The sequence below is a fragment of the Homo sapiens genome, chromosome 5 (genome assembly GCF_000001405.40).
Source record: "Homo sapiens chromosome 5, GRCh38.p14 Primary Assembly".
NCBI classification, from domain to species: Eukaryota; Metazoa; Chordata; class Mammalia; order Primates; family Hominidae; genus Homo; species Homo sapiens.
In genome coordinates this window covers 135,058,061-135,082,482 of record NC_000005.10, presented here as the reverse complement: position 1 = coordinate 135,082,482, position 24,422 = coordinate 135,058,061, and the positions used below count along the sequence as shown (strand labels likewise).

The 24,422-nt window shown below is 51.3% G+C and overlaps 1 long non-coding RNA gene across 1 annotated transcript in view, besides 2 other annotated features; it reads right to left on the bottom strand.

Moving 5' to 3' along the window:
• PITX1-AS1 (PITX1 antisense RNA 1) overlaps positions 1–24,422 on the bottom strand; it is a 311,407-nt gene that overhangs the window by 262,198 nt on the left and 24,787 nt on the right. The gene's annotated exons all lie outside the window — the stretch shown is intronic.
• Positions 14,086–14,775: an enhancer, noted in NCBI's record as "H3K4me1 hESC enhancer chr5:134403398-134404087 (GRCh37/hg19 assembly coordinates)". NCBI's record gives its function as "activates a minimal SCP1, AML or CMV promoter by ChIP-STARR-seq in naive H9 embryonic stem cells {active_cell/tissue: H9 hESC(naive)}" and the evidence as "EXISTENCE:reporter gene assay evidence [ECO:0000049][PMID:30033119]".
• Positions 16,158–16,849: an enhancer, noted in NCBI's record as "H3K4me1 hESC enhancer chr5:134401324-134402015 (GRCh37/hg19 assembly coordinates)". NCBI's record gives its function as "activates a minimal SCP1, AML or CMV promoter by ChIP-STARR-seq in naive H9 embryonic stem cells {active_cell/tissue: H9 hESC(naive)}" and the evidence as "EXISTENCE:reporter gene assay evidence [ECO:0000049][PMID:30033119]".

The window sequence follows — 24,422 nt, the reverse complement described above, 5'->3', positions numbered from 1 at the left end:
AATAACAACAATATCACAGTGGCTTACAACAACAAGCATTTATTGCTCATGTATCCAGATGTCTGCTTACGTTGGCTGCTCCACCTGTCTCTCATACCTTCCTGGAACCAGTGGACTAACCTGGGCATGTTCCTCTCATGGCAATGGGGGCAGGCAAGAGCAAGCAAGCTCAGTCACCTTCAGTGGCTTTCAGTCCTCTACTTGTATTGATTACCAACATCCCCTTGGCCCAAAGCAAGACATATGGCTGAGCCCAGAGTCAGAGTAGTCAAAGTTACATGGCAATGGGCATGGAGACAAGGAACAGGTTGTTTTTACAACCTGCCACATAAGAGTTCAAAAAGGGAGGCAGAAAATAGAAAGGACAGGAAGATAGATAGATACATAATTCTAGTAGATTTCCTAAAACTAAAGGACATGAGTTTCCCAACTGAATAGCCCACTGAGTGCCTAGCAATGAAACAAAATAGAATTATATCAAAATCATACCAAATGTCAGTTTCAGAACATTGGGAACTGATATGATTTGGCTCTGTATCCTCACCCAAATCTCATCTCGAATTGTAATCCCCACACGTCAAGGGAGGGACCTGATGGGAGGTGACTGGATCATGGGGGTGGTTTCCCCCATGCTGTTCTTGTAATAGTGAGTTCTGATGGTTTTATAAGTGTTTGGCAGATCCTCCATCACAAGCTCTCCTCTCTTCTACCACCTAGTGAAGAAGGTACTTGCTTCTCCTTCGCCTTCTGCCATGATTGTAAGTTTCCTGAGGCCTCCCCAGCCATGTGGAACTGTGAGTCAATTAAACCTTCTTTCTTTATAAATTACTCAGTCTCTGGCAGTTCTTTATAGCAGGGTGAAAACGGACTAATATGGGTCCAAAAAAAAAAGGTCCTAAAAGCCTCTAGAGAGAAAATAATGACAGGTTTCACACAAAAGATCATGAATCAAAATGGCATGAGAATTTTCAACACCCACATCAAAAGCTAGTAGGTAATGGAGAAAACCTTCAAAATTCTTAAGGAAAATTACTTCCAAATTGGAATTCTATACCCAGCCAAACTATCAAATTAAGTGTGATAGGAAAGTAAAGAGTTTATAACATGTAAGTGCCTTTAAAAACATTACCCGCAACACACTCTTTCTTGGGAATCCACAGGGAGTATGCTCTGACAAATGAGGGAGTAAACCAAGCAGGAAAGCATGGGATTCAAGAGACAGGAAATCCTACTTGGAAGATAAATAAAACTAATTCCCAGGATAATGGTGAAGGAACATCTCAGGAATACATATGTACACCCAGCATAGAGGGCAACCAGCCCAGACCAGAGCAAGTCTGAATGTTCCAGGAGAGATTTTTCTCAGAAACATTAACCTAGTAAATACCTAATGCATCTAAATACATTGAGAGGAGACTTATACAACCAGAGAACAGTGTGCAAACAAAATAATGACAAATACACAGAAAACTAAGCACATAACAATAATTATTAACTGTGGGGGAACAAAACATTGTGTAGCCAAAAGAAAATGCTCATAGTCTAATATGACATAGCCCAAATAACTGATTTATCAAAACACAGAACCCTTTGGGGAGCACAGGGGAGTATCATGAGGGCATGGGATGGAGCATGTGGGTGAGGAGTATAAAAGAAAGCCGGAGGCTAATCTCCCACAGTGAGAAGTCAATAGATAATGCTCAAAACTGAACAATTTTTTTTTTTTTTGTATTTTTAGTAGAGACGGGATTTCACCATGTTGGTCAGGCTGGTCTCAAACTCCTGACCTTAGGTGATCCGCCCACCTCGGCCTCCCAAAGTGCTGGGATTACAGGCATGAGCCACTGTGCCCAGCCTCAAAACTGAACAATTTAAAAGAAACAATACAAACATGTTTTATAGAGTTATAAAAGTAAATACTCTTAAAAATCAGCTAGAAGGATTGAAATTGCTTTTCTCTGGGAAGTAGAAAATAGAGGTAGATGACTTGTGTAAAAGTGTATGGCACCTCCCCCATCTCTCTCTTCCTCCTGCTCTGACCATGGAAGATGAGCCTGCTTCCCTTTCCCCTTCCGCCATGATTGTAAGTTTCCTGAGCCCTCCTCAGAAGCCGAGCAAATGGCCAGCACCATGCTTCCTGTCAGCCTGCATAACCATGAGCCAATGTAGCCTCTTTTCTTTATAAGTTACCCAGTCTCAGGTATTTCTTTATAGCAGTGTGAAAACAGACTAATACGTTGTTCTCCAAATATTTATTGAGCACTTAACTATATTAGTCACTATATTATTTGGACTTTTTACAGTGAGTATCAGCAGAAAAAAATAAAGTTTTAGAAATTTAAGAAAATAAATGCTAAAATAACTAATTCCAACATGTTTTCATTTTAAAAAATAAAATGTCACCCAGAGGACACATGAGGAGGTGTGGCCCCATCAACCCCAGGCTAGGGAGGGACCATTCCAGAAAGCTGAAAGCCTGTGAGTAGGTCCTCTGCCTGCTTCCTGAGCTAGAAGCCTTGGCCACGCTTGCTGGTGGGCACGTCTGGCCCTGCAGGATCTGCCCCATGGGAAACAGGACTCTCCCTGGTATGATATGATTGTGCTCCAGAGGCTCATTTTGGGATCCTTGGCTGGGAACTGCAGAGAGACCTAGCTAGCCTGGACCTAGTGAGGCTGGGATGATAGTCACCATTGCTGTTAAGTGGGGATGTTCTCTGGTGCCCTGAAGGTGTCCTTGCAGCCTGCACCAGGTGTGAAGCACCCTTTCAATCTTGATTAACAGATCTTCTCTGGTGGTGGGTTTCCAGACTCCTAAGAGGTGTGAGTTGAGGGTCTGCCTGTCTTCAGCAGCATAAAACGGTGGAAGGAGAACAGGCCTTGAAATCAACTAGCTCTGAGCTCTGCCACCAGCTGGCTCTGTGACTCTGGAAAAGTTCCTCAACCACTCTGAACCTGTGCAAGCTGGGGTAATGTGGCCCTCATTCCAGGCCCGCTGGGAGGATTCCTGGAGAGATATATGTGAAGTAGCTAGCATAGTGCCTGGTGCATGGTAAGGACTCAACAAGTCCTCATCTACTTTTCAGAAAGAGGTTGAAGGCTTGCCTTCTGGCAGGGCAGCTCCATCTCCACCCTCCTTCAAACACAGCCAGAGCTAACTACATCTTATGACCTCAGGCACCAGAGGACTGAGAAGTCAGGAGGGTGTGGGGGTAAGTGGAGCAGTCACCAAGTTGAAAGGATGATAACACTGAATAAAAAGACAACGCCAGGAGGTCCCTTACCAGAAAGTCAGCAGGCTCTTACCAGAATCAAATTCCAGAAGCAAAAGCAAACCACAGGCAAGTATCAGAAGTGGGGACACTTCCTTGGGTTACACAAGGCAATCTCCCAGGGGAGACGAGGCTAGTCAGAAGGCTTGGGACCAAGCTCACTGCAAGGTGTTTGCTAGGAAGCACTATCTCAGCTGCAGGGAGGACCTCATGCTAATAACAGAAGAAATGCAAATTAATATCCAAAAACCAAATTCCTTCTTTTTTACCTAATAAATAGACATTTTAAAATTTATAATCCACGGTGGTAGTGAAAGATGTGGGGAAAAAGACATTCTTAGACTCTGCTGGTAAGGGGGTAGATATAGCCTTCCTGTAAAATAATTTGCTGACATATATGAGAGTATAAAACATGCACACTGATTTAGCAATGGCTATAAAAACTGTAAATGGACATAATTCTCCAACTCAACAATTCTGCTCCTAGCATTTCTCCAGTTCTGCTGTGCAACTACACCAAGACATAAGGATGTTCACTGAAGCATTTTTAAAAAAATGCTTTGTGGCCAGGCACGGTGGCTCACGCCTGTAATCCCAGCACTTTGGGAGGCCAAGGTGAGCGAATCACCTGAGGTCAGCAGTTCGAGACCAGCCTGACCAACATGGTGAAACCCCATCTCTACTAAAAATACACAAATTAGCCAGGCATGGTGGCGTGCACCTGTAGTCCCAGCTACTCGGAAGGCTGAGGCAAGAGAATCCTTTAAACCCAGGAGGCGGAGGTTGCCGTGAGCCGAGATCGTACCACTACACCGAGTGAGATTCCATCTCAAAAAAAAAAATGCTTTGTAATTTTTTTTAAAAGAGTCCATTGATAAGAGACTGGTACAGCTATGTCATGAAGCTGCCATGCTAATGTGGGAAGTTGCCCAGGACACCTTATTAAATAGAAAAATCATTGTTCATACTGTTATGAAAGTTATGAATCAATTTGTCCTTAAAAGGTACACACATACATGCATGCGTGCACACATGCACAACTTCTGGAAGGATAACTAAGAAATTAGCAGTGGTTATTTTAGAGAGTAGAGGATGGAGAAGTCTTCAAGTTCTCACTATATTCCCTTCTGTACTGTTGAAACTTTTTACCATGAATTTAGTAACTTTAAAAACACATGATTTAGCCCACCAAATCCACCTGCAGGAATTTATCCCACGGAAAACATGCCTCACACCCAACAAATATTTGTTAAAGAATAAATGTGAGCAGATTTGGCCATGAGGTTGTTCACTGCCAGTGTTGAGGAAAACAGAAGTTACAAGCAGCCTAGGTTCCAACCAATGAGAAGATAGTCTGCAGCCCTAGAGATGATGTTGTTTAGGACTATTCAGTGACAGTCACAAGCATTCACAATAAAATAAGACGAAAAACTGGAGTTATAAAAATGTTACATAATTTGCTGGGCACAGTGCCTCACGCCTGTAATGCCAGCACTTTGGGAGGCTGAGGCTGGTGAAATCACCTGAGGTCAGGAGTTCAAAGGCAGATCACCTGAGGTCAGGAGTTCAAGAGCAGCCTGGCCAACATGGTGAAACCCCGTCTCTACTAAAAACACAAAAATTAGCTGAGAATAATGGCATGTGCCTGTAATCCCAGCTACTCGGGAAGCTGAGGCAGAAGAATTGCTTGAACCTGGGAGGCAGAGGCTGCAGTGAGCCAAGATCGCGCCACTGCCTGGGTGATAGAGCGAGACTCCATCTAAAAAAATAATAATAATTAGCATGATCCCACTTTGTTTTACATACAAAGGTGGTGAGATCATTAGAATATTTTTTCTTCATATTTTCTGCCTTTCCACAATAACCATGTACTACTTTATAATAAGTAAAAACTTTTTTCTTATAAATAAATGATAAATCTAGAACAAAATCTTGGACAAGAGGCTGCCTCTGTAGCTAATGATTTTCTTAATCTCAATAGTGATCGAAAGAATCAATGGTGCAATGCGAGCAGGTTTGGATCAGTACCAGCTTGTCCCACAGCACCAGGGGAGTAAGGGACTGGTGCCCTAGCTTCAACAATGGGATGTGGTCCACACTTCGATGTGGTCTCAAACTATAGGCTCCACATTTCAGAAGGCCCTACGTACCAGCCCCTTGCACCTCCAGGAAGCCAGTAGGACAGAGGGCTAGAGCAGGCTGGGACCGTGGCAGTAAGGAATGGGACTGAAAGGCATTGTATCAGTATTCCAGGTCTGCCCCGCTCTGGCCTGCTGGGGGACCTTGCAAGGACCAACTCCTGTCTGACTCTGTTATCTTTATAAATGACAACAACCCCTGCCCTGCCTACCTTGCAGCAGGGCTGATGGAAGGAGCAAATGAGATGCCTCCTACTTGCCAGGGACTGGCAAAGTGCTATGTGGATGTGAGGTTATTCTGTGTCCATTCTACACCCCACAGCCAGGATAGACACCAGAGATGACCCCAGGAATGTGGTAAAGTTCGTTTCCAGCAATGCCCCCCAACTCCTGCCCCTTCCCCCCACCACCTCTCAGAGCGCCCAGCCACACACACCTGCCGCTCCCTCCCTGATGCATCTTTCAAGGAAGTCAGAGTCCCAAAGAAAAGCAAACCCCTTGGGCAGCTGCTGGAAGCAACAGTAGCCCTACTGTTCCAGTTATGAGAATCCCTTTGCAAAGAAAGTTTTTATAAAGAGAAAGGCAAAGAGAAAAGGGGGGTTATGACAACAGAAGCGCAGAGCAAACCATTTCAAGTCCTGACACAGGCAAACTGGTTCTGAAAGTCACCTGTTTCTGAACAGGAACGCAAAGCCCTGTCCTGTCATGCCACACAGCTGGGTATCTGTGCATTGCCAACTGACTTATATAAGCTCTTCAAAAAACCCATTCGTTTGAGTTCCCTGTTTGTGCAAATACTGTCAGGGGCGCATCCGAGCACCCCGGCCATCCATCATCACCAGTGCATTTCCCAGGCTGGCGGTGACTCACCCCAGTCCGAACCCGCAGTACATTCTGCAGGCAGCTTCTGTCACCGTGAGGCCTTGCAGCCTGTTAATGCCTCTTTCCCATTTATCGGGCCCACAATAGGCATATTAGTGATGCTGAAACCCTGAGCACTCCCATGGAGAAGAAAAGAGCCGGGTGACTGAGAGGATGTGTGTGTGTTTATTTTCACCATTCAGCCCAGCCACAGCTTGGGTGTTCAGAAACCACTCCTCTGCTCTGGCAGTACATCTGCCCTGGAGAGGAGACAGCCATGGGTCTACAGGCCCCTCACTGGGAGCACTCACGCCAGCCCAGAGTGAGAATTGCAAAGAAGGAAAAAGCTTGGAGACCTTGATCTCTGCTACCAGAACTCATGGGGCAGTGAGACCCTAAGAACCCAGGGTCAGCAGCTGGTCGGTGTGAGGGTGGAGGAGGCTCATCCAAAGCCTCTCAGAGACTCCCATGTCCACGCCTAGGGTCAGCCACACCCACAGAAGACCAGGTCTGTCCCAATCAATGCCAAGTCAGTTATTTAACCCGCAGATAGGAATTCTTCTCTAGAAGTCCAATTTAAAGAGGAAATACAGACATACTGATTTGCAGCCTCAGAGCACAAGTTCCATGGACCAAGAAGGGTTCAAATACACACACACACACAGTCCTATTCTGTATTCAAGAGACCCGGCTGCCTTGCATCCAGTGCTCTGGCTTAACACATCCGTGGAAAACACACAAACTCCATGTGCATCCCTGAAAATGACCGACATGCGCTTAGTTGCATATTTGACATGATCTCAGATGAGCAAACAGTACAACATACCCTGTTACGGTACTCTCAAAATGTATGCTTCAGTGAGCCGAGATCACGTCACTGCACTCCAGCCTGGGCAACAGAGCAAGACTCCGTCTCTCAAAAAAAAAAAAAAAAAAGTATGCTTTAAATTTTCAGAATATATTGATCTTTGCTATTTGTGTACATAAACAAATACATACACATTTAGACATACATGACTAAGGCAGAAACCCCAGCTAATGTTCACATTAGGCCACTGATGCCAATACTACTCAAAGAGACTGGGAAGTATGGAAGAACCACCCACAACATGATCCTCACTAAATCAGCACCCTGAAAAATCAGCAGGATTGCTTCCACAACCTCCCAGGCAACAGAACTGGGAGGTCTACCTGGGGAGCACAGGTCCTTTTGCTTTCTCCAAAGAAGAAGGGTTTTCCAGGAGAGCTTGGGCCCTAACCACAAATCCAGGATGCGTTTATCATTCCAACAGGAAAGATTTCAAGCAAACCCAGTTATTATTGAGGTTTTTTCCTATTTATCCACCGACTCTCTGAGCCAGATACTGTTCCAGGAGCTGGGGAAGCAGCAATGAACAGAGCAGACGCATCCTCACCTCAAGGAGCTGACTGTCTACTAAGGAATTTTACTTTTGCTGATTTGTTTCTTAATCAAGGTAGCAATGTCCTTTTCACTTCACACTTGTGTTGAGTCTCATTTTTCTCAAATATTTAAACCTTGGCTCCAACTGAGATATCTATTAAAAGAGCCACAGGATCCTGAGGTTGGGTCCACGCTGAGTAAAGAGACCTGTGAATTGTAACACTAGGTCCTATTTTCTGTCTCTGAGTTCCTCCAGACAAGTCAGATGTCAATGTTCAGCATACCTGAATTCCCTCCCATCCAGCTGTGGGAAACCTTCGAGCATCAGACCACCTGCTAGGAATCCAGAGAGACCTTCAAACATCCAGCAAGTCTTGAGATGTTTCTAAGGATGCCCTGCAGAAAGTCAAACATTAGAAGTGTTTCTTGGAAAAACACATCACCAGATAAAGATAATTGATTTTGAGGGATCTAATCATGGGTTCCAGATTATTCCCCAAAAGGGAAATAAGGAGGAAGGGTCATGCTTTCCAGGGCATGAATCTCCAGCAAGGGGTCTGATCTGGCAGAGCCCAGGGGAGACACCAAGTGAGGGGAAGCTCTGCACAGCTCGAGGAAACAGCTCAGCCAGCTTGACGCGGCCGGGGACAGGCCACACAGCCCTGTCACTCGTGACAAAAGAAGAGAGCAGAGTGGACAACTTCCCCTCTCTGGCTTTGGCTATAAGTCTTCCTGCTGAGCCCCTCACCCGGCCTGACTTCTGAGAGAACACCCCGCTCATCTGAGAAAGGGCAGCATTGCTCCCTCAGCAAATCAGGGGGAGAGGGAGCTTTCCCAGGCTTTTAATCACTCTCTGATTCAGCGCCCAAAAACCCAGGGACAGGAAGCCCAGCAGATTTTGCTCAGAACTGAGATAATATATTTTCTAACCAGAAAACACATCTCAGCTAGTTACCACCTCATTCATCTTTCCAGAGTGGTTATAATTACAGTATTCATTTCATAATTGCTGCCTATTTGCAAATACAAAATCCCTGAATCTTAAAATAAATTACAGTTCTCTTTTCTATTTAACAGCCATTGTGCTGCTAGTTTACAAAGAGGAGACAATACCTCCAATTATTATTTTAATAACAAGCCTAAGGTGAACAAGGCTTGAGTTTTCAGAAGACGACGTGACTCATTAGCACAAAAGAGAATTATTGAAAATAATTTCATTGAACAGCTCAGTTATGGATTTCTCAATTCTAGGCTCAAGGGCCAATGACAGCAACTTTTGATCTGCCCTTTTTCTGGCTTGCTGCTGACCTTGGCACAAATGATGAGGCGGTCCAAGCTCGCTGTGGTCAGTGTGCCTCTCCCTGCCACCCAGGGCATCTGGTATTACTGACTTAACCCGGTGATTCTAATTCTTTAACGACTATTTATAAAGGGTTCTGGAGGAAAGTGCGTGTAGTACGGGGTGTTATTTTATGTCTAGGGGCTACGGGGAAACACATGGTGAGCTGGGCCTTGGATGTTGGCACTAAGGCAGGCAGAGAACAGACGTGCAGCTGGGGCCAGGGCAACAGGACCCAGCCAGGCAGGAAGGCGGCAGCAAGTAACAGGTTTAAACCTTACTTTCGACGTGCCTTTTGCCTGTGAGTGAGGCCAGCAGCTGACACAGCTGTCAGAGCCCAAACGAGAATGTTCGGAACGACTCCGTGCTGCTATGCAGAGAGGAGGGACTGACAGAGTCACTCCCAGCCCGCAAGATGTTTGAGCCAGGTGTGCCCAACAAAAGGCCATACCACCATGCTACCTCCTACAGAGCCCATGTTTGCTCACAATGGGAGGGGCCTCCCAGCCGAAGAGGAGCTCACTCCAGGCTGCAGGGAAAACAAAGCCTAACCTTCTGAGATAGGCACCTCCTTTCCTGTAGGGGACTGCAAGGAAGTCTCCAGCCCCAGATGCCTGCAGGTGTTCCCAGACGGGACTGCTCTCAGACCAAGGTGAACTCAGGGCCCCATCTGAGGGGCAGAGTCACCTCCAGGAGGCCAGAGACAGGATCATGGGTGTATCCCATGGTGGTCCTCCCTCTGCCTCACACCCCCAGACTGCTGTCCCTGCCTGCCAAGGCCACCTCTGACAGCCATCAACCCAAACACCTCTTCGCAGGGGTTCCTGGTGTGAGATTTAGGGATGTCACTGCCAGGAAATCAAAAACTCCTGGATGTCATTCACAGGGAATGAGCACCTTCTATGCCCCGGGCTCCAAGCCAAAAGCCAGTGACACACAGAAGGACAAACTGGTCCAAGTCCCTGCCTTCAAAGAGCTTGTGGCCTAATGTGGTCTGGAGACCCCTGCTGTTCCTACCAGTCACATGCCCTTAGCCAAGCCCCTCACCCTTTACCTTTGGCCCTCATGTGAAGAGGGAGACAAAAAAGACAAAATGACTAGATACGGATCACATACTCCGGAGCACCCCGGAGATGTGGTCTGGCCTAGCGTTAAGAGCAGCCCCGACAGATCGCCCGAGCTAGACACTTTATGCCTGTGTCCTACATGCCAGATGGCAATAAGAAGAGTAGCTGCCTCACAGGGCTGATATGAGAAGTAAATAGGTAAACATTGGAAAAATGCTGTGCACAGTGCCTGGCACAGGCTGAGTGCTTATTGTCATCATTATTATTGTTGTCACTCATTATTATCATATGACATGCTAGGGACATGACAGTAAGGACAAGACAGTCCTCGTCTCTGAGGGAGGTGGAACTGCCTGTTTGCCCATTTTGCACAGTGTGATCATTGCTTCCTTGAGACCACTCCACCAAGCCCAGGCTTGTGGGGATCAGAGAAAGCCCCTGGAGGAGAGACATCCTATTGCAAGCAGCTGAAGGCCAAGTAGGTATTAGGCAGGCCAGGCAGAAGGAACCACATGTGCAAAGGTACAGAGGCTTGAGGGACAGGGTAGGCTGGCAAGAACATGCGAGGTGGGGTGCTCTTGCTGGGCCACTGTGAGGATGAAGAGGATCTGCCCATCAAAGTCCACTGAGAACTTAGCCACTGTGCAAGAGCAGGGATTGTCCACCATTTGTTTTTCATTGAACTCCAAAATAAGTATGTGGAATAAGCATTTACTGAGGCCCCACAGCAGCCCTGGTCTGGGTCCTGTGGGGCAGATGGCCGGAAAAAGACCTTGTGCCTGGCTCAGTGAGGCCAGGGTTCCCACGCAGACCACAGATCCCAGACAGAGTCTGCCTGCTTCAGCAGAGGTGCTCACCCATGCGGGACCCAGAACTCACACGGCTCTCTGGTGGGGCCTGCCCTGTGTCTGTGGCAGCTCTTCTCTGAGACACACACAGCAGCCCACTGTGTGACTGACAGGTCATAGGGCCTCCCCACAACACCGCCAGTGCCTGTCATCTGGCATGGGGACAGCTCACCAGCCATTTCACAGGCAGGAATACCTTCTGCACATTGTAGGGTCCAACTGCTCCTTGTTGGATTGAGCCTCGGGGCTCATGGTTTTAAAACAGAGTTAGTCTCCACTCTCAAGGCTTTCTCGGAGTCCTGCTGCACCTGATATTGCTGGAGGCAGGTAGACAGGGGACAGGGAAGGAAAGCTGGGCCTGGTGGTCAGGTGGATTCAGAGTAGAGAGGACTCTGCTTGGGCTTCCCTCTCTGGAGCCACAACACCTATCCTGGCCAACGTGGCCAGAGTCTGCCCCTGCACACTCCCTCTGTGGCTCTGGGGAACCAGGGGCCACAAGTGAGGATGCTGGTCAGCCCTTCCTGGTGGAGACAGGAGAGGGTCTGGCAGCTGACAGCCCCCTTCCCAATCCGGGACCATCACCTCCTCGCTGTGTGATATGAGACACATCACCGTCTCCCTGCCTCAGTTTCCTCACCTATACATAGGTTTCCTAATAGTCCCTACCTCAAGACGTTGACCGATGATTAAAATAACACACATCAAGGGCCCAGGAGAGCCTGGCACAGTCTGGCTCTCAGTAATGTTAGCTATTATTTACCCCACCACTTTTCTGGAGAGGAAACGCTGATGGCAAAGCTGTTATTGGCACTTCCACGCAGCATTTCCTAGCTTCCTCCACTCCAGGCACACTCGGGAGCCAAATAACCCTGAATACCTCCTGTTTCCTGGGGACAACTCTAAGAAAAATTTTTAAAAAATTATTCAAAACGTGGTGGATACTGTTTCTGAAGAAATAAGTCATCGAAACCATCCCCTCAAATCTATTCTAAATCTAAGGCAAGTAAAACAGCAGGCGACGTGTAGTGCAATCCACGTGGTGACAAACATACTCACTGGGAACCAAAGTCAGGCCCCCCCAGAGCTGCTCTTGTTGTACGGTATGCTCACGGCAGTGGGGCTCCCTGCATGTGACGAATGTGGGTGGCACACCCACGCCCCTCTGTAGAGCTGGGGATCCACACTTCATTACCGTAATGCACCACAACCGGGGATTGGACATAGTGGGCTCTTCGTCCGTGATATGCTGTTGATGGCAAGTCCCACATGCAACATCTGTATCTGCCTCTGAGGAACAACAGAGTCCCCTCCACAGTCCAAAGACCAGGAGCAGGGGCAGGACCACAAAGCCCCAAACAGAGAGGCTCAGCAGGTGTGTTTGACAGCAACAGCTCCACAGAAGTGCTCTTGCACCACGACCACACCACGACCAACGGAGAGAGTCCACCTCCTGGAATGCACTTCCTCACACCTACCGCAGAGCCCTGGTGGGAGCTCTGTTCCCCATTCTGCCTTTTTTTCTTCTCCACGGGTTGCTGCAGCCCATCTCAGAAGCCAGCCCAACTTGACAGTGCTTGGGAGGATTCAGACATCTCCCCCAGTGATGACCCGGTCACAGCAGAGCTATCATTGAGGCCACCTCCAGCAGGTGGACAATGTCCCCTTGCAGCACAGCCAGCACAGAGCCTGAGAGCAGGCACAACTCAGCACTACCAGCCAGGGCCCACAGAACCACCGCAGAGCCCCACACCTTGTAATTAGTCCATAGGCCCGGGCTAGGGACAATGGCCTGGAAAAGCCAGCAAATGAGATACGTGCATTAAAACCAGGTCTCTGTGCCAAGCATGCGACTTAATTACATAGCCCGCGTACTCTCTTCCTTCATGAACTCTCACCCCAACCAGTGACGACACAAAGGAGGGATTAAAGACTGCCTGCCGGGGCCAGGGAGGCTAAGTCTGCATCTTCAAAGCAGAGAGGCTCTGTAAGCAACACGCAGAGCCGAGAGCCCCTATGCAGCCCCCACAAGAGACAAAGGAGGTGGGCAGGTATTCAGCAGCCATGACTTGTGTGAAATTCTGACTCTCCGTCTGTAACACCTTGCAACAATGGTGGCCTTCCAGCAAAGTGAAGAAGCCCGGCCAGCTCCTGTGACGCTCTTGCCCCACGCAGGCCTTCTCTGCATGGCGGGCATGGCCCCAGAAGGTGGCTACCAAAACTCACACTGCCGTTCTCTCCACAGCCAGGGCCAGATCATCTGGGCAGAGTAAGCCACTGGCTTTGGCCTGGAAATCTCCACTCTGCAGGCCCACAGCCTCACTCCAGCATCCTCTAGGATGAGGGTGCAAAACCTTGTCCTAGGAACAGCGATGGGGAACTGGACTGTTGGGGAAGAAAATGTGGTCACTGTCTCCACTGGACAGGGGGCTGAGCCACAGGAAGCCCCCTCTAAAAAGCTGAGGTCCCAATGCCCAGCATGGCCATTTCCCCTGACAGCCTGAGCAGGGTGAGGCAGATCACACAACTCAATGAGGCTGGCTCTCACCCTAAGCTGATCCCCTAGACCCCCAGCCCCTCGGGAGGACCATGACCCTCCTAAACCACAACTGGAAAAACCTGTGGTCAGCTCCTAAAGAAGTTAAGCAGCAAGCCTCAGAGAGACCCGGCTACCTCTCCTGGGGCTCTCTGCCGAGGTGTGCTGGCTCTAGGCAGAGGAGTTGGGCAAAGGCTGTTGTTACTACGGACTGGGTGTTCCATTTGGACAATTTCATCCCAATGCTCTGTAATGCCCCCTAATCCCAGCCCGCATGTCTAAAGACAGAGATCCCAGCCTTCAAGGATCTGCCGTGGTTTGCTCACAGCAATAGAAACAGTTTTTTTGTTGGTGGTGGTTTTTTTTTGGGGGGGGGGGTTGTTTTTGTTGTTGTTGTTGTTTTGTTTTGTTTTCTTTTTTTGAGATGAAGTCTCGCGCTTGTGCCCCAGGCTGGAGTGCAATGTCATGATCTCAGCTGACTGCAACCTCCACCTCCCGGGTTCAAGCCATTCTCCTGCCTCAACCTCCCGAGTAGCTGGGATTACAGGCACCTGCCACCACTCCTGGCTCATTTTTGTATTTTTAGTAGAGATGGAGTTTCACCATGTTGGCCAGGCTAGTCTCAAACTCCTGACCTCAGGTGATTCGCCCGCCTCGGCCTCCCAAAGTGCTGGGATTACAGGTGTGAGCCACTGTGCCTGGCCAGAAGCACAGTTTTTTATACCAAGGTCGATGGCTCCAAAGGCATGTCCTGGCAGAAGGGAAAGAGCTCAGAGGGCCAGAAGAGCCAAAGAAGGGCCTGCCAAGGGGGAGGCTCTTCCAGCCTGACCCCTGCCCTGCCATGAAGAAGCAGATCAGGCCAGGAGGACAGGAAGACATAGAGTCAGTCATATGCCCTGCCCTTCCCTGCCCTGCAGCCCCTAAAACACGCTGGGCCTGCACACCTGCCAGCCTCAAGGATGAACAGCAGCAGGCCTGGACTGCAAATCTGAGCAAGAGGCTTCTGGACTAATGGCAGGGCCCCTGGAGAAAGAAGAGAGAACCCCCACGTTTAGGGGGCTTAGACCCCTCAGCCCCTAAGCCCTACTGGAGGCCCTCACCCATGCCGCCTTTGATGTACCCGCCAAACCCGGCAGCCTTGAGGCCCTCTCTGCATTCCCGGGCCTGCTGAGGTCCCAGAACCGCACCTGTGCTGTCTGTCACAGTGGTCGGGGCCTGGTGGGCACCCACATCAGATCCTCCAGGCTGTGGTGGGCACACCAAGCCCAAGAGGCAGAGACTTACCAGGGCCACACAGCTAGTACTTCTCACTGCCCCAAACGTCAGCATCCACACTGCTGGCCATGCTGGCAGGGAGGGGAACTCTTTGGGCTGGCAACCTGTTGCCCGTGGTCCAGGCCACTCAGAGAGCCAAGGCAGCCCCAGAACCAAAATGAATGCACTCCATCCACTGGAGACTGTGGCAAACCATTATTCCTGCCACTGCAATGTTAGTGATCAAATAACCTCCCCCACATCTCTGTTTCCTCATCCGTGACATGGTCCCTCTGTCACCCCCACCTCTAAGGGAGGAAAAGGTAATGCAGTAGAGCACCCTGATCAAAACACACATTTTGACTTTCACTCTGGGGTTCCTTTTTATTAACAGGAGGCTAAATCTGTGACTAAAATTAAGTACTAACATTTAGGAATGATTTACCATCTCTATAGATTCACAGCAGATTTAAGGAAATTTCTGTAACAACATCCCTTTCACAGCTGGCTTTCCAAGGCACTTTCTTCAGGAAAGCAAAGCAAAGGAGAGACTGAGCACTCAGAGAGGAGGGGTCTGGGAGGCCTGGCCATGCCGGCAAGGAGGGGTCAGGGAGGTCTGGCCATGCCAGGGAGGAGGGGTCGGGGAGGCCTGGCCATGCCAGGGAGGACAGAGCACTGGGAGCAGCCCTGATGCTGCACTGCCAGCACACAGCAGCCTCCACCCCACCTGGAGGTGGGCAGGGTGGCCCAGTGGTGAGACCACCCTGGCTTCCTCCATTCCCACCACTTCCCTGTTAGGCCTCCCTGGCAGCAGCAGTCCCATCTCTAAGATGGGAGTCACACCGGCACCCCTCCTGGGGTTGGTGTATGGAAAGCACAGAGCCTGGCACATGCCGAGGCCGGTGGATGCTGGCTTTCACATCAGCCTCCCTGCACCAGCAACCCCATTCCTCCACTGAAGGGCTTGTGCTGAAGCTGCCAGTCTGCATGGGGTGGCTATAGGCAGGATGGCACTCTGCAGCCCTCCCCCACCTTGCCCACGAGGGATGAAGATGGTGCCTCCACACTTTGCCACTCCATTCCCAGTCCTCCCCAGTCCCGACTTGGCTTCCCTAGAGAGTCAGGATGAGCAGAAGCAGGAAAGGCACAGAAAGCAGGGGTGAGACCAGTTATGTATGAGAGTCTCTTAGAATCGTCCAGCTCCAAATGGTAGTAGTTTAGGGGTCTGGGGGATGCCAACAGGATGGACCAAAGCCCATGGGAGAAGGACCCAGAATCCAAAGGCTGGGGGATCATCCTAGGTTGGAGCAGCTTCATAACAATCAAGTGAGATGGGATTTCACAAAGGAGGAATCAGGCACAGAAAGAGCAAGGCATCTACCCAAGGTTACACAGCTAAGTGGTAGAGGCGGGACTGGAACCCCGGCAGTCTGACCCTGGAGCCCTTGCTCCAAATCACTACTCTGCAATGTCTTTCAACGCCACCCTTCCTTCCCGCCTCCTTGGCCACACCTCAGGCTGCCCAGCAAGGGCCAGGAGGTGCCAGGAGAGCAGCTCCAGCCTCTGCCCTTCCTCCGTACTACTGGTTCGCAGACCTCCACAGCCCAACCTGAGACCCAGGCCCAACGGCAGCCCACTCCCACACACTGCCACCTGGGAGAGCTGGCAGGCTCAGCCTACGAGGAGCGGCTCGTTCACAGGCTGGTAAAGGGGCTAATTAAACACCCAGCCCATGCCCCCCGCCATGATGAGGGAACCCTGCCACCTCATTGCCCTGCTGCCAGCCAACAGGCTCAGAGGAATGCCACACAGAATTCGGCAGCGGGCAGAGCAGGGTGAAATCCCTCTTTATAGAGTTATTTTTGCTGTGGAATTTTCACTGGCCTGTAAAATATTTTTATATTTATTACACGTTTAACGGGAGCTCCTAGAACCAACAGGGTGTAAATAATGAAAACTAGGGCAGTAAAGGCCCCAATAAACCTTGCACCAGCCCTTTGATTCTCCCTGTGAGCTCCAATTTCTCCTTCCTCCCCAGACTCCAACCCTTTGCCCCGGAGCAAGCCCAGAAGGCCAGCAGACCTTCGGGAAGCCCATCTTTGGCTCACAGAAAATAGACTCACTCCATTGGCAGCTGGAGCTGTGCTTCTGGCAGACCCCACTGAATGTGCTGACCGAGGAAAGGCCTACTGTGTGTTCAGCCAATGCCAGTGCTCAAGGGAGCTGAGCCAGGAGACTCCAGTGAGGGCCTCACCTCCCCCAGCCCTGCAACCTCAGATGGCTCCCATATTCCCAGGTCCCAACACCAGCCCCACGAGCACAGACATGCATGGGATGGTCACATTCCTATGCCCTCAGGGCCTCACTGGAGAACCAGAAGTCCTAGGAGAAAGTGCTCCATCCATAAATGCCGACCTCCACACCTCTGCAGCACCCTGGCTCAGTGTGCCTGCATCCTATGGCTGCATCCTATAGGTACAGAAGGCTCCCAGAGCCCCCATCTGCACCCCGCTCCCCATGTCCCCTCATATGATCCACAAGAAAAATCCAGGAGGAATCAGGCCCTTAGATCCTGCCCCAGGCAGGAACACAGAGACACAGAGAGGGGAGAGACCTACGCAGAGGGCAGATGCCAGTCAGTGGCAGAGCCAGGGCTAGCCTCGGAGCTAGAGACTCTTCAGTCAGGGTAAGAGATCTTGCCCGAGCCCCTCCTCAGGTAGGAATCATCTCTCCACATGTCAACAGCAGCTACCCTACCTCTGCCTGCTAAAATCCCCAATGACGAGGGGTCAGTTCCCAACAACCCAACCCTCTCCATTCTGGGTCATCCAACAGTCAGCAGCTGAGCCCAAACCTTCCTCCCCAAAGCTGAGCCCAGCTGCTCCCACCTCTTCACACATGTCCTTCCCATACCTGAACCCAGGTAAGCAACCCCTCCCAGACCATCCCCAGCTCTGAGAGCACACCCGCCCTGCCCCCCACCCCAACATGACGAGGTGCCCAATCCTCACAGCACCAGGCTGCCTGTGCCTCTTATAATGGGGACCAGCCCCAGGAGAGCACCCAGTCCCCTAGACCAACCAAGACACTGAATGTCTGTTCATACATCTGGAGGTGGCCTTCACTGGTGTTTCTTAAGCACTCACAGCATGTGACCAGTTGACCCCAACTTCGTAGCCAAAATCCTGGCTGTTGAGTCTGGTCTGTCCTACTAGACTCCAGGGAAATGATTCCTGACTCAATGCAAGAGTCTGCACCTGTGCTGAGCAAAGCACCCTCACGGGCTGTGGGCACCCTGCAACCCCCCTCCTGGGCACCCATGCAGTCAGGGCTGCCCTTCCCTTCACAGCGGAAGCCTCTGCACATCTGCAAAACTACAAGAGGGGCCTGTCCTTCCCAGATGCTCAGGAACAATGCCAGCCACACTCTATATGAATCACATCCCATGTCTGCCCCACCAACAGCGGTTGAACACGACCCTAGGAGTGCACAATCCCTGTGGAGCTGCAGACAAATGTGGGGGTGAAGGGTGTGAACCCCAGCGGCTCCTCAGACACGAGTCAGGCTGGAGCAGCTCCTCTCCGGGGGCAGATCAAGCTGCAGCTCCTGCCTGCAGCTGCTGCACCACCAGGAGATTCTTGTCTCTCAACCCCTGATAATTATAGTCCCTGGTGCTCGGTTAACAGCCGAGTCATTGCAGGGTGTTAGAACAAGCAGAGTCTGCGTGAAGAAAATTAAACAACAGCATTTGACAAGTGGCCCATCCCCTGTGGCACCTCCCTGAGCCAGGCAAAGGGGACCATCTAGGCCTCGCTGGCCCACCCGGGAGGAGCTGGCCCCTCAGGGCAGGAGGCAGGAGGCTCTCGGTAAGTAGGGGCAACGCCCACTTGGAGACCCAGGAGTGGAGAGAAGGGGAGCTACAGGGCCCTGGAAAGGGGGCTGTGGGAGACAGTCCTCTCACAGGGAGGCTGCACAAGCCCCACGGCCTCTGCACTCAAGAGGGGCCACCTCTCAAGGACCTCTGCACATCTGCTCCCCGGGTATCGCTCACCCAGAGAGCAGCCACAGAGCCAGATTCAGGGGCACGGTAAGGTGCCCTCTAGGAGCTGCCTGGGGCTCTTCATGGCTGAGCAGGTGGGGAAAACTCAGCCTCACTGGATAGAAAGTGGCACCTGTGCTACTACTACTCCAGTCCCTCCCTGACATCTTGAGGAAGCAGGCTAGGGAGAGATGGGGTCATGAGGGCTGTGCTGGGGCACTTCCCAAGCCTTTGCTGTGTCAGCCCAACAGCATTCCCATCTGGTCCCCAGCCTGGGAGCTGCAGCCCAAGATGTGGTGCTGAGCCCCCAGGTGCAAGAGTCACCCAGGAGACTCCCACTGAGCCATCAAGTCCCCAGAGGGCTTTGACATCAAGCACTCAACCTCCATCCCCTGCCCTCTGAAAGCTCCTGGGTCCCGCAGTCAATCAACAACAGTAATGGGTGTCAGCTGCATTGGAGCAACTTGTAGCAGACCAAGGATGTGCAGAACCACACACCCGCTGCCCTTGACCCCGCCTACCAGACCTGGTGCTAGTGTCAGCCACCTACACAGTCCTGCTCCTCATGGTCTTTTTCCATGGGATCAAGCTCAGGCCTCACATGAAGAACCAGCGACACGGATGCCCAAGCGACGCCGCCAGCAGTGCCAACCATTTGCACACACTCTAACAGCTGCTGTAACCTCCCATTTTCGTAAGTGAGAAAACTGAGGAGCTCAGAGAGGCCAAGTGACTTGTCTGAAGGAGCAGAGCCAGGATCTCAGTCCAAGGCCAACTATCCAAATCCCAGAGGACATCTGAGGACAGTCCAGGCTCTTTCTAAAGGACAGCTCAAGGGCACCTCCCCAGGCAACCCTCTCCAAGCCCCGCATTCCCAGCACAAGCGCCGGCTCCTGGCTTGCCCTCCCTGTGTCCCAAGCTGCAGCTAGGAGGAGGGGGTGTGCCTCCCCCCAAATTCCAGGCAAAGAGAGGCACAGAGCAGACTTCAGCTTCCCGGCACCCACCATGAGACAGAACACATGTTTTCTGTGTTCCCTCCCTCCTCAAGCTCCCAAACATGCTGGAGATATTATTATTTATTATTTGCTGAGTGCTGACAGCGTGCTGAGCATCAGGTCCAGGAGCCCAGGCCCTGCCAACACGGCTTGCAGTCAGACACCCAGCACGACACGGCCCCCGGCCACCCGGATACACATGCAGCTGCTGGGGCTGGCTGCCGGGGTCCCCAGCTCAGATAGCCTCCTCTCCTATCCTCAGACTCCACAGCCATGCCCCTTGGCCTCTCCCTACCCCAGCAGGGAGGTGTCTTTAGTCCCGGGCAGCCAGATGCTCCAAGGCAGGGCCTCCGACCCCACAAAGGGTGAGAGGATTCACCTGGAGCTGGGCTGGAAGATGCAGGAAAAGCCCCTGCCCCCGGGGCCTACTCAACCCAGCCCATGCTCATGCATGCCAGGTCACTGCAGCAGATCCCATGAAAAACCAAGACGGCCATGTCACCAGCCCGTCCTCTCCTGAACACCCAGCTCACTCTCGCCTTCTTCCTCTGGAGAGAGGACCAGAGGCCAGAGTCAGCTCTGGGGTATAGAGATTCCCTGCTCTGTCCTGGGAGGCAGGACCAGGACTAGGGTGAGCAAGTGAAACACAAAAGCTAAGGGAGCCAAAAAACTCAGGAATCAAGATAAACAATATTTCCACACAGTATTTCTAAAAATCAAAATTAATGCAAAAATCTATGATGAATAAAATACCAAAATGTTAAATAAAGACAGGATCGGTAGTACTGGTGTTTCCTTCAATTCAGGCTCCAGTGTGGCTTCCATGGCACTGCGGGGAAGGCCACTCAGTCCAGGGTGCTCCCCCAGACTGTCCTCTGCATTGGAGGAGACTCTGCAACCCCATAGCCATGTCATGGGTCAACATCCCAGACCCCCAAGTGAGGGCTCCTACAGAAGGTCAGCACCCACCCTGAGGGGCCTTCCTGGAGAAGAAGGTACACAGAGGTCAGAGGGAGCCTGCCAGCATCTGGGGGTGGCACAGGGAGGAAACGCACCCTGGGGTACCTGTGCTTCCCATTTGCTCAGCCCCAGCTCCTCACTCAGAAATGGGTCCCGGCCAGGTGTGGTGGCTCACGCCTGTAATCCCAACACTTTGGGAGCCTGAGGTGGGTGGATCACTTGAGGTCAGGAGTTCGAGACCAGCCTGGCCAACATGGTGAAACTCCGTCTCTACCAAAAATACAAAAAGTTAGCCAGGTATGGTGGCAGGTGCCTATAATCCCAGCTACTCAGGAGGCAGAGGTAGGAGAATCACTTGAACCCCAGAGGCAGTGGTTGCAGTGAGTTGAGATCACGCCACTGCACTCCAGCCTGGGTGACAGAGCAAGACTCTGTAGAAAGAGAAGAGAAGAGGAAAATAAAAGGAAAAAGAAAAGAAAGAAGGGGTCCCCTGTCTGGGTCCCCAGAAGCCACGGTCTCCCACGGGGATACTCGGTGTGCCCCACGTCATCGCAGCTCCCTCCCCCACCAGGAGTGCAGTCCTGAGCTGAGGCATGCTGCTGAGAAAGCCTGAGAAGGAGCCCTGCCCCAGGGCTGGGACAGGTAGAGGAGGGGCAGGCCTCACAGTCAAGGGGTCCCCACCAGAAATGACCCATGGAGAAGGGTCCTCCACACCCAGTTCTAGCTAGGGGGCATGGTTTCTGTAGGTTTGAGTCTTGGGGGACTGCCTACCTTCAAAGTCAAATAAGAGTCACAAGCTTCTTTGTCCCTGGCTGCCAAGATTCCAGGGCAGAAGGCTTCCCACCCACCCCAAGCAAAGATGCCCACGACCCAATCCCCAGAACCTGCAATGATGTACCTTACATGGCAAAAGGGGTCTTTGCAGATGTGATTAAGTTTGGGGGTCTTGAGATGGGGAAATTATCATGCATTACCTGGGAGGGCCCAGTGTAATCACATGGGTCCCTAAAAGTGGAGAGTATTCCCCAGCTCTGGTCAGAGGGAGAAGCAACGATGGAAGGGGGTGTCCAAGAAATGCAGTGTGGCTGGCTTTGAAGATGGAGGAGGAGGTCACGAGCCAGGGAATGCAAGCAGCCTCTAGAAGCTAGAAAGGTCAAGAAAACAGATTCTTCCCTAGAGTCTCCAGATGGAACACAGCCTGACCGAGGCCTTGATCTTAACCCAGGGAGACCATGTCCAGCTTTTGACTTACAGAATTGTAAGATAATAAATGCATGTTGACTTAAAGTCCCTTAGTATGTGGTAATGTGCTTCAGCGGTAATAGAAAACTAACACTGCCCCAGAGACTTCAGCCACCCTGCCCTCCCCTTTCCCAGGCTTCTTCATGGAAGGGCCTGCCCTTGGACGTTGCTTAAGGAGCTCAGCTCTGTGACTGACACAGCCTGCTTTCTAAATATGGGCCAAGAGTCCATGCTGAGACCGGCACAAGCTCACAGGTAGCCCTGGCCCCCACCTCTTCCACAGGGGCCCCTGGGCAGGCCCACTCTCCATAGCAGAGCCTGCTCCCATTAGCTGCTCAGTCTCCCACTCGGGCCCCAGACTGGTCCCAGACCCACTCATCCCTCTGTTTGGATGACACAGCCTTCCTTTACTGCCACAGCCCCTCTCAGAACACTCTGCTGGGTGCATCATCCTGCAACAGCAATGTCAACTTCTCACTGCCCTGCTGCTGCTGTTCTGAAAGCTGCAAGGCTTTTTTGCTATCCCCCCAATGCCATGATGTCCAAACTGTACTCCCAGAACCTTGGGGCCACTGGGGACTTTGGGAGGCGGTTTAAAGGGCAAGTGAATGGGGGTCAGAAACACCCAGCTAGCTGTTCTGCTGTGTACAGACAAGTGTTCACTTCAGCAAAGGGGTCTCCAGATAAGTGAAACGTGTGAATACCCTGGCATGAAGGGGGAAGTCACAAACCTGTGGCAAAACTCAGCAGAGAGTGCTGTCCCCATGCAGTATCAGTACTTTTGTGTCTATTGGTGCGATTGCTGGATTGATGTCTGTCTCCCTCTATAGGCTGTGAGCTCCCACAGGGTGGGACCATGTCAGTTTTGTCCCCACCTTGAAACCCCAGAATTAAACATGGTGACTGGCACCTTAGAATGAATACATGAATGAATGAATGAGTAAATGAATTAGTGAATACCCCTTACACACACACACACACACACACACACACACGCAGAGTACAGCCCCAAATCACTTCCCCAGCCTCTCAGCACACTGTCTCTAGGACACAGCCCATCTGAGAGCTGCACTTTCTGGGACCCCCTCAACACGCTCTATTGGAAATGCTGTGGGAAAACGTGGAGTAGAAAGGCTTCTCACTCATCTCCACTCTGCTCAGACCCAGCCCAGCTTAGGGCTGGACCTATCCAAGGTGCTAGCAACATCGACCCGACCTCAGTCATCAGGGCCAATGATGGGCCCATCAGGGGCTCCCTGAGGTCCATAAGTCCCTCCTTGGCTTCCTCTGCACTCACTGCTGCCTGCATCCTCACACAACCCCCAGGTTCGGCCGAGAGCAGGGGATCTGAGTGTACTTGCACAAGCGTGGGTGTAAGCGTTTGCAACAGAAAGGTCAAGTATCCCCCAGGAACCAACACTCACCAGCAGCATCCTGGGCAGTGGGTCCCCATGAGCTGAGAGAGGCTGGTCCTTCTGAGAGTGCTAGGAAGACTACTGTGAGGGAGGACAAGAAGAGCCCTGGGGTGTCGGGGAGGCCACATGTAGCTTGTCTAAGCATCTGAGGCCCTACCCTGAGCCTTGCATGCTCCCATTCAACAGACATCAAACACCTACTATGCACATACACTCTCACCGCCGCACCTAGCAGGTGCCCATGCACAAAGGTGCCTGCTCACTGCAGCAGCTGCTCCCCAAAAAAAATTCCCTGGGCCAGGAAGCTGCATCCTGCACCCTAACAACCAGGCAACTCAAGCCTTCACATGTGTGTGCATCTTCGTACGCCAGCAAGAGGCTGTGAGGGCCTGGGAGGTACCATCAGGGAGACAATCAGGTCTGTGTAGTGCAGTGATTCACAGCCCAAGACATCCCTCCCGAGGCTACTGTCGAATTATCAGCCCCACCATCTTCAATTACGAGGCTTGTCACTCATCTCCAACCATCAGAAGGAAGTGAGTGAGGAGATTAATGTCTTTTTAAAAACTGCTTTCATCCCTTAAAAGGATTCCTGCACAGATGCCATTTGCATTTCTAAGAGGAGAGGCAGAAGAAGCACTCAGAGACTCAGCTGCTCCCCGGCCCCCTCAGCCATCTTTGATCATCCATGTCTCTCCCAAGGCCCTCCCAGAGCTGTGAGGCCAGGCCGGGAAACCCTTCCGCTGAAGCCTGGGTGGGCCGGACATCCACGCTTGCTTTCCTGGGCTTCCCTCAAGAGAAAGAGGACAACTGAGCCACAAGTCCAGCAATCCCACAAAGCAGCGCCCAGGCATTTCTCTCAGGGAGTCTGTCACGGGTTGAACTGTGTCCCCAAAAAGACATGTTGAAGTCTGAACCTCAGAATGTGAACTTATTTGAAAATAGGGTCATTCCAGATATAATTTGTTAAGATGAGGTCATCCTGGGGTAAAGTGAGCCCTTAATCCAATATGACCGGTGTCCTTATGAGAAAAGGGAAATTTGGACAAAGACACAAGAA